This window comes from Homo sapiens, chromosome 1 (assembly GCF_000001405.40).
Source record: "Homo sapiens chromosome 1, GRCh38.p14 Primary Assembly".
Lineage (NCBI taxonomy): Eukaryota > Metazoa > Chordata > Mammalia > Primates > Hominidae > Homo > Homo sapiens.
The window spans coordinates 75,092,045-75,103,246 of NC_000001.11; the positions used below are offsets into that span (position 1 = coordinate 75,092,045).

Sequence of the window (11,202 nt, forward strand, 5' to 3'; positions counted from 1 at the left end):
ACGACCAGGAAAAAATTAGGCACGCAGACACGTGGAAGGATGAGGAGGGCAGAATTTATTAAGCAAAAGGAAAGTTCTCAGCAAACAGAGGGGTCCTGCATGCAGACTTCCACCTCACAAATTGAACACCAGGTCCAGCACACCTGAGCTGAAGAGGCCAGGCTCCTCCCTTGCATAAGGCAAGAAATCCTGCTGGCTCCACCCCATTCCCCCAGTGTGTAAGTGGGCATGCCCAGGCAAGCCATAGGTAGTATCAGAAAAGGCAACATTCTATTGGTTAAAAGGCATTATTCAGAAAGAATCAATCAGGAAAGACTGGGCAGCAGAAGTTCTCCCTCTGGGTTTCAGGTTTCATCCTGGACCAGCAATCCGGTCTTTCAGCCTTCAGGCTGTTTTAGGCTTGAAGATGAGGTTTCACTGTGGGGCGGCGGGGGGGTGGGGGCATTCCCTATCTGCCTAGGCCTTTGTCTGTCTCCTGCCTATATAATTTTTACATTAGGACAATGAGGCAAATTGAAGTCGTAGATGGTAACAGTGACAGTACTGTCTACTTCTTGTAGACAGTAACAGTGAATACTGTGAATAGCCTAGATCTTGGTATACATGATATAAAGAAGACAAAATGAAAGTAGATATTTGAAGGACTGTTAGGTAGAAGCAGGAGTAGATTATTTGTTACTCTAAAAGCAGAAAGACATGGATTACAAAATGTTACATTTTGACTTAAAATTTTTTAAAACTGTAAAAAACTAGAATCACTCAACATCAGAGATATCCAAGAACAAAATAAGTATCAATCACAAATACTACAGAACAAATTACTATATTGCATGGAAGACTGTCTTGCTGATTGCCAATGTGTCTTCTGTTTATAATTTTAATATGCTAGGATCCCATGAATCTGTTTAGTTTATTTTTTTGTTTTGTTTTTTGTTTTTTTTTTAATAAATCAGCAAAAGAAAACAGTTACTAAGAAAAATAACCTTTTTGGTAATATCTGCAGTTTCCAGATAGATTATTTAGGTTATAAACCTACTCTCATTTATCTGAAAGTATCTTAACTCTACTTCACTTTGTGTAGGTTCATACAATGTGCATTAACTTAGTCTTAACATTTTTAATAGTTTCAAATTGCTTTTGAGGTTGTGTTTTCTGCATAAATTAACCTTGAACACAAAATTTTCACTCAAGGGTAGATAACTTTTCTTAGCATACCATTACATGAACAAACTAAAGTCCAATTTAATCTATTTTCTTCATTTATAATTGACCTATTCTTCACCATCTATGATTTTTTAGTAACAAATATATTTCTGAAAATTCTGAAAAGAATGTATAAACCTCATTTTCACAGCTACATCATCCTTATGTCTCAAATCCTAAGGTTATATTTCAGGGACACTACTTTCATGCTATGGAATTTTTGGTTCAATATCTTGTCAGATTCCATTATTTTCAATATATTTCTCATGGTCATTTCTGTTGTTCTACATTTTCAACAAAGGTGACATATCACTAAATAGGGCTGACCCAGGTGATCAACATGAAGTTTCAGTAATGACAATATGTAACTTTTAAGTCTAGGTCATAAAAGGCATTGCAGTTTCTACCTTGAGTTATTGGATCACTTGCTCTGGGGAAAGCCAGACAAGCAGGTCATAAGAACATTCAGTCATCTCTTTGGAGAGCCCTAGGATGTGAGGAACCAAGGCCTCTCACCAATAACATGACTAGCATAGACTAACTTGCCAGTCTCTTGTAAGAAGTGAATATGCCAGCCACAGTCAAGCCTTCAAATGACTACAGCCCAACCAACATCTTGACTACAAACTCATGATAGAGCCTGAGGCAGAACCACCAAGTTAAGCCACTCCTGAATTCTTGTCTGAGAGAAACTCTGAAAGATAATAAATGTTTATTGTTGTTTTAAGCAAATAAGTTTTGGTGGGATCTGTTTCACATCAAAAGATAACTAATATACAGCATATTTCTAACCTCACATATATTTATGCTATCATTACTTATAGAGGGAAACATATATTGCTCACTTTTTAAAGTCTATTGTATAGTGTTTTTGTTTTGGTAGTTGATTTTATTTTTTGTCTTTTTATTAATAAAATCTAAATATTTTTGAAGATCAATTACATGAGAAAATGTTCATGTTAGTGTTTAATGAAAAAAGCAAGTTACAAACTCTCTACAAAATATGAATTATTCCAAAAGGTTAATTTACATCTATGCATAATGAAACAGTTAATTACTCCCACATAACAAACTATGCCCAAATTCAGTGCTTAAAACAACACAACCATTTATTTGCTAACAGTTATGCAATATGGACTGCATTGAGTTGGGCAGCTTATCACAAGCTGACTTCAAATTCACAAGTGAGCCCCATTAATACCACATGGTAAGCTGCCCATGTGGTATTAATGGGGCTCACTTGTGAATTTGAAGTCAGCTTGTGGCTTGACTGGAACTGAAGAATCCAAGATGGTTTCATCCTGTGTCAAGTTCCTAGGCTGGTACATCTGGAATGGATGGGATTTAGCAGTCTCTCTCTCTCTCCTTGTAGTCTTTCTGCAACAAGGCCTACCTTTCTACAAGACGTCATTCTCAAATAAATTACCTCAGGCTTCTTTATATCATAACACAGGACAAAGAAAAAGCTGCAGGCTGCCTAAAGACTAGATCTAGAACTTGTACAATTCTACTTTCACCACATTTCATTAGAAAGCAAATCAGATTCACTGTGAGAGAGGCCTACTCAAGGACATGAATTCTGATAGGTATGGTTCATTGAGAACCATTCCATAACAAATTAACACACACAATGTCTGTATTTTCCAAACATTCTAAAATAAAAATGCATTGCTTGTGATTTCAATAAAACAATAATTTTAAAAATCTGATGACCATAAAGTCAATATTTTGGAAGACAGTCATTGTCACTGCTGAGGCTAGTTTTGAGGAAAATAAATCTCTGATTGCTACGGCCTCATCTGGGAACAGAGAGTTCTTTGGGTCGATGCATACTGCTTAGTTAGAGCTCTTATACCAAATTCATGTTTAATAAGTGTGTGTGATGCCAATTTTAATAATTTCTAGGGATGGAAAGCGTCAATCCAATCACTATTCTCTGTACCTTGTTTTGTCTGCAATATTTCTGGATAGATAAAAGCACAGGGGTTAGGGTAGAAAAGCTTGGGGATAATTCATATTGCTATATTTCTCAAAAGAATCATGAATAGGTCATCAGGGACAATAAGAATGTTTAAATCAATTAACTTTTATTTAAAAATGTATTACATTCAAAACCCAATCTTGGGTACCATGTGGAATGCAAAGCAATGAAAGACAAATCTTTGACTCTACTGAACATTTAAAAAGTCAATAATCAGAAAGATCTAATATGAATCTTAAAAGATTGTCCCAAAATAGCTTTGTAAAATATTTTGTTGATATAAAAATTACAAATGTAACAACCAAACTTAGCAACTACTTTTCTTTCTCAAGTGATGGAACTAATTGGACCTATGACAAAAGACCTTGCCAACAGGAAAGATGCTGGCCCCACAGTTTGTAGTGGTTACAATAATGGTACCAACCCTTGGAATAGTGGATGGAATCTTGAGCTGCCTCTGGTGATTAATATTAAGTGTCAACTGGATTGGATTAAGAGTGCAAAGTATTGTTTCTGAGTGTGTCTGTGAAGGTGTTGCAAGAGAAGATTAACATTTGAGTCAGTGGACTGGGAGAGGAAGATCCACCCTCAATGTGGGTGGGCATCATGCAATCGGCTGCCAGTGCAGCTAGAAAAAGGAGGCGAAAGAAGGTGGAATAAGCTGGTTTGCTGAGTTTTCCGGCTTTCATCTTTCTCCTGTGCTGGTTGCTTCCTGCCCTTGAACTTCAGACTCTGGGTTCTTCAGCCTTTGGATTCTTGGACTTAACAATAGTGTTAGCCAGGGACTCTCACCTTCAGCCACAGACTGAAGGCTGCACTGTTGGCTTCCCTACTTTTGAGGCTTTGGGACTGGGACTGAGCCACTACTGGCATCTTGTTCCTCAACTTGCAGAAGGCCTATTGTAGGACTTCACTGTGATCACGTGAGTCAATTCTCCTTAATAAACTCCCTTTCATATATGCATACATTCTATTCGTTCTGTCCCTTTGGAGAACCCTAACTAATACGCTGCCCTTTCTTCTTTTCCTTTTCTAGCAGACTTTTGCCTGTCCTGTGGCCCAGAAACAGCAGTTCTGAGCTACAAATCTGGTTTCAGTAGGATAGTAGCCCAGAAAGCCAGTACGGTAAGCTTGAGTACACCAACCTCCAGCTTCAAGTCTGTTCATTTACCCCAAGCCATGCACCAACCTATCTCAAGATGACTGAAGTCAACATAGCATGATCAAGAAACAAGCCTAAAACTACATGTCAGAAGTAAAGCATAAGGAGCTGATACTTTTTAATTATGAAATATCAAAAATTAAAATGCTTAATTATTAGAAATGATGTTATAATTATAAGATCATTAGAAATGACGTTATAGTAACAATAGTGGCCACCATTCATTGAATTCCTACATCTGTTTTTTATCATTCTAGCCACTATAACTACATTATCAATAATAATTCTATGAGGAAGATATTATTACAAACCCTCTCCCCTTTATACCTAAAGAAACTATTTAAGTAACTCACCCAAGGTCATAGAGTTTGGATTCCAGCCCAGGTCTCTCTGATGCCAAATCAGTATTCTTTTTACTTACAATCTATAGTACTCTCTTACTCAAATTTAAATAAATGATTCTCTCAGAAAGTAACAAATTTGATACAAACTACCATTGATTTTAGACATATAAATAAATCTGATGTTCAAAACTATTTTATTGGTTTCTTGGGCATATATATAAGTTGTTTCATCATCCTTAGAAGTTTTCTACATTTGAGAAACTAACAACATAAGTTATTGAAGTGTGCTATTTCTTGGGTCATCCTCAATATTGTACATTTTATAATAACAGCTCCCATAAGACAAAAGCATTCAATAGAAATTTATGAAATGAATGCACAAATTCTATCTTTAGCTTTTTAGTAAGCAGTGTCAACTTAGAGTGCTCCACAAATATTAGTGATTATTATAATTACCTCAATTAAAAAGTACCAAAAGAACTAATGAGGTTTGGTGAACTCCTAAAGGATTTTCTACATGTCTAAAATTTTTGAGCCTTAATTTCAAGTCTCTTATAAATATTTTTGAATTGATATTGCAGAGATTTATCTATAGACTTTTTATCTTTATTCAGAATCTATTAAAATTATAGAACTCAAATATATTTGACTTCCAAGGATACTTGAAATTCTTAGCCCAAAATAGTTTTATATTGGATTGAAATGATGTCTTTAAAAAATATATATTTATATTACAGATTTACATATTTTATTGACTAAGTGAGGAATACTGAATTCATGAGACAAACCTGGTAGAAAGTATATTTAAAGCTACTAAAATAGCTATGAAGGAGTAACTACATGAGTGGATTTCCAGGTCATAGAATCAGTTCAACTAAAATGTTACAGGAAATCTATTTCTAGCTGTCCAATTAATTAAATAGATTTAAAGACTAATACTTGATATGCCAAGGGCAGAACAAAAGCCTAGCCTAGAGGGATTGGATCCTCTTCTTTTTCTAGCCCCCTTTATTTCTAGGAGTCCATTACACCTAGATTTTGTTTGCATTTGTCTCAGTTTGCTTCATTCTGTACATTTCCAAGTCTTTTCTTGATAATAATTTTATTCCCCTGTCTGCCTTCTCCTGGCAACAGCTGACCTGGCTGCAAGCCCAAAACCTGGTAAATGACAAATCACTACCAGATGAAGCTGCAAGTTTTACATAGAGTATTTCCTTCAGGCTCAGAAACTTTGAGGCCCAATAAAATTACTGGAGTGATTCAGAATCACGGGGAGATCTATTTTTTGTGAAAATTTGTTAGGTTCTGCTAAATGATACAGCAGTAATAAAGAGTCTCATTAAAAATTTTCAAAATCAGAAAATAGAAAATAAGTTGCCAAGGGCCAGGAGAAATTATAATGGTGACTGGGAAAAAAGTTATTAAGCAAATGATTACATGACAAATTCTCTGCTTTTAAATTATTTTCCTAAGTTTTTTTAATTTAAAAATGTATTATAAAAAAGTATACATAATTTTTTATTGAAACATTAGAAACCAGACACTTCAAAGAATAAAATCACACACTCTCACCATTAAAATATTTGACTATATCCTTTTTTAAAAAGTTCTGTTACTTTTTTATTTAAATATTAAATATAGTATCGATATATAACATTCTAACGAACAAATAATAAAACTTTACTTTTAAAAACTTTATTATTATTTGGGTTTAAAGATGGGTTTTTAAGAGTATATGTACAATAATTTTTCTAGGATCTAATGCAAGCTTGTCCAACCCACAGCCTGTGGGCCGCATGCAGCCCAGGACGACTTTGAATGCGGCCCAACACAAATTTGTAAATTTTCTTAAAACACTTTTTATGAAATATTTTTGAAATTTTTTTTTTTAGCATATCAGCTATCATTAGTGTTAGTGTATTTTGTGCAGCCCAAGACAATTCCCTTTCCAATGTGGCCCAAGGAAGCCAAAAGATTGGACACCCCTGAATGAATAAAAAAACAGAAATAAAAAATTTAGTTCTATAACTAACAATAAAAACAAAACTACTTATGGGAATCACAAATAAAAGTCTCTTAATAGGCCTTTCTAATATTTTTAGAAATATTATAAAGAGGTGGAATTTTTCACCTCTTAGAGTCTTAAGAATCTACCTTCCTTAGTCCTCAGCGATAAATATCAGATTTTTTAAAATCTTACTTTATCCCACATGCCATATAACTTGTTCTGAAAAACAGTTGGAAAACTATTTCCTAAATATATGTGGTATTATTTGGGGGCAATGCTGATGACATTTAGAATGGTTATATACACAAGTAGAAAACGTACAGGGTCTACGAAATTAAAACTGAACATCTGTAAAATGCTTTGTAAAAGAATGTAAAAAGGTTATAAATCAATTTGTGGGTGTTTAAAGCAACGCATATTTGCCCTGCACTTTGCAGATTTGATTTATTCTCAGCTTAATGATGTTTACATAGGTTAAGCCTTCAGCAAAGTTCAAGGAGCCAAATTTCTCCATAATTCCCTCCCACCAAGGTATCCTCATTAAATTTTGGTATAATGGCAAGATCTTGCAATCAGAAGACCTAGGTTTTTATCCTTCGCCCCTTACTAACTATGCAAAGTTAAGAATCTTACTAAATATAATCCTCCATTTCCATATCTTTAAGAACGAAAATTTGGTAATGGCTATTTGATGGTCACTCTTTAAGCATTACTTTTAGGATCAAAATCAAAGAGATATTATATACAGGTAAAATTCCTTTTTAAACAGTAGTGCACTCCATAAGACAAGAAAATGTTATTCTTAAAACTGTCTTCTCTGGTCTGGCAATATTTATGCTGCACCTTCTCTTTCATCTTCACTCCCCCTTTGAAATGAACTAATACAAAAATTAGCCTCCTAAATCTTAGAGCTAATTCAATTATGTGATTATAAGAGACCTAGAGCACTACCTAAGAAATATTACTGCATTTCTTGGGGCAAAGATCCCAGTTCCCACAATGTTAGCTAACTTATTAGTAAATTTCCCCATGGGAATTAAGACCTTGGCAGACAAACAGTAAACTTCTGCTTACAAAAGGTTTTTGCAAACTGACCACTTTCACATTTTTCCTGAAACATCAATTTAGACAAAGCAGATGTGAATTTGAAGTGAATAAACCTTTTTACTACAGCAAGAAGAATGGGAGTTATTGACATTAAAAAGGGAGGCGGAGATATGTAAAATTGAACTCGAAAGTTTATCCTTTTATTCGTAAAAGAAAAAAATATAGAATTACTATAAAGTAACTCCCACCCCCCTACTCCTTCCCTTCCTCCCTAAAAGAGTACGCTTTGGCTGTGGGACTGACTGCTGGATGTTGTAGTGTTTTTTGTTTCTTTGTTTGTGTTGTACGTAAAAGTCTGAAGGAATTTCAGAGTCTATTAAAGTTATCACTTCTTTAACATTACACTTAAGACGAATAAGCCAAGGACTATCTTAAAGACAGAAATATCAAACCCTTATCCCCAATCTACTCTATCCATTAGAGAAAATAGGGTACATTGAGGGGGATGAACATTTTTCTTAAAGGGACAAATACTCATTCTTTTGAAACTCTTCCCAACGTAGTGTCAAAAAAATTAACTACATTGCTTTATGACGGTAACATAAAAAGAATAAAATTAAAACAATGCACGCTTTTAAAATTAGTTAAGAAAATGGCTGGGGCACCATTTTTTTCTGTCACTATTAATTATTACCCATTTTAAACTGCAAATTTGCAGTGTAATGTTCTGTTGCTCAGAAAAACAAACAAAAAATTTCTATCCCCTGACTGAGATAAACTCCCTTCATGTGGACTTTTCCGATTTGCAAAGTCGTCTTCCCAGCTTCCCTCTGTCTTTCTCCCTGGCCTGGAGCCACTCCCTGGGTAAGGGCCACCCAAGGCTGACACTGAATGAATTCCAGGCAAATTCCATAGCCAGTCGGACTTTTTTCCTCTTGTACAGAGTAGTACAGTAAATGGTTATAATAATTAAAGCAGCATCGTTGAGCTCTGAGTGCTTAAGGTTGATGACCCCCAAAAATGAAATTTCAGTGAGCTGAAGATGGAAGTAAAAGAAACTTCAAAGGATCGTGTCTAGACGACACCTTCCTGTCTCAGAGAATTGCTTGCAACGTCCACTTCGATGCAGACAAGCGAGAAGGAAAGCCTGTCAAAGTTCATTGACCATAGGTAATGATACAGGGTAATTTCTTCTGATAATGTCACCCAAAAAGGAAATTCTACAGACCAAACCGATTAAGACCTCAAGGGAAATATATGAACAAAATTGTTTTTTGTTTTTTGCTTTTGTTGGGGGGTTGTCGGGAGGAGAGTATAGTTCTGGATGGGATTTTTAAATTGATTAGGACCTTTTTTTGTAGAGGGAGAGAAAATGAAACTAAATTTTTTAAAAATACTGTGATACGTAAAAGATATGTCTTTTACAAGTTTCCATTATATATTTATGAACTCTTATATCCTTGGTTCCTTACAATCAAAAACCATGTGCCTTACCGAGAGGAACACAGCTATTTCTTTGAAAAGAAAGAAGTTGATTTGGCAACTCTAATAGTTTATATCTTACTATATGTTTCTGAAATGAGACAGAAATACATGGTTTGTGATTAGCTGAATTGATTTTATGTGAATATATATTTAGTATGAACACGTTTATAGCATACATTTATTCATGTATAAACAGTGTGACTAAAGAATAAATAGAAATTTTAGTAATTTCAAGCTGTCTTATGTGAGATATCTAGTGTTTATTATTATATTATGTTTATATTTTTATCTAAAGTGAATTTTTTAATGAAGACATAATTTTGTGTTTTAAATTATTTTATTTTCTCCATTTGTCCAAATTGCCTTTAAATTGCCTCTTAAAAAGTGTGAGTGTTTTAGCTCTTTATAATGACCACCGAGTCAGTGGGCTGATTTATCTTGAAGTACATGTGTATATTAACGAAGTGTACTTCACATTCCAAGATAATACATCTGGTGATTTATAGCCATATGAATGTGAACAGGCTGTGAAAGGCTGATCTTGCCAGCCATCCCTGGCAGGCTATATGGATGAAAATAACTCTTTGATCCTATAGCTAGCTACAAACTAGGGTAGCTAGTCAGGTGGGTCTATCTCCCTGTTTATCAGAGTGGGTCCTATATTATCCTGCATTATTTGAAAATAGGCTTTGCTGTACCCCTTTTCTCACTTAGTTTGACACCTCAGTAGGCACCCTCACTGATACTTCCATATCTCACTCTGGGATAGTGAAACACTCACTCTCTACAACTTCTATGAGATTGCAACCTTCTTCCAATGTAGTTTTCTGTAAAATAAGACTCATATGTGATAGTCATGACTATTTTTAAAAGTTGTCCATGATATTCTGGAACTTTGATTTGGTGAGAAGCATAAAACCATATCAACAGCCACATTTACCAACCCTAATTTGGTTTCCTGTTTTTCTTTAAATATGCTATTGAACAGTATGACTCAGGTATCAAAATTCTAATAACCATTAGTTATTTATTACTAATGAAATTACATGCTTCTACAGTAAAATTGCTGTAATTTAGGCTAAGAGAAAAGAGTAATTACAAACTAGGAAAAGTCTCATTTGAAACTTAAAAGCTGTTATCACTGTTATTACTTTTCAGATTATTACTTAAATTACAAGTAATATATATTCTATATTATTATTTAAGTCATACTTTTAGGACTAATACATTTTGCCTGGGAGACATCTTTAGAAAACTTGCTTATTTAAAATTTCAACACTTATGTTTTTCTGATTATGAAAGTAATTAGGGATGCATTACAAAAAAATGTGAAATGCAAAAACATTTAAAGAAGAAAATAAAAATCACTGATCACCAACATTTTGACACATTTCATTCTATTCTTGTTTTCCATATATTATTTTGCATATAGTTGAGATCATACTTTACATGACTTTTTTTTAATTATACTTTTTTAGGGTTCATGTGCACAACATGCAGGTTTGTTACATATGTATACATGGGCCATGTTGGTGTGCTGCACCCATTAACTCGTCATTTAACATTAGGTATATCTCCTAATGCTATCTCTCCCCCATCCCGACTTGTTTTTAATTATATCATAATCATCTCACTCTTCAGAAAAATTATTTTAATAACTATATAATACTCTATCCTAGAAACATATCTTAATCATGTACCTAATATGAATATCTTGCTTGCTACAAATAACTTGCTATTAATGACAACAAAAAAAGCTGTATATACTCCTTCTGCACAAAATTAGAGGCAACCAGCACAAACTTTTTTAAAGCTCCCTCCTTTCATATTTAAAAATAAACTAATGCTCTGCAGTTAGTAGTAGTGAACAAAAAGCAGCAGAGAAGAAAATACCCATGACTTTCTTCTTGTGCAACTATATTCTGTCGCATTTCCTTCCAGTCTTTTTTCTTTCATTTTAACACATTTGAAA

The 11,202-nt window shown here is 34.2% G+C and overlaps 1 annotated feature.

The window, feature by feature from the left end:
• Positions 1-295: an enhancer, noted in NCBI's record as "tiled region #8849; HepG2 Activating non-DNase unmatched - State 3:PromF". NCBI's record gives its function as "activates a minimal TATA promoter and a strong SV40 promoter by Sharpr-MPRA in HepG2 cells {active_cell/tissue: HepG2}" and the evidence as "EXISTENCE:reporter gene assay evidence [ECO:0000049][PMID:27701403]".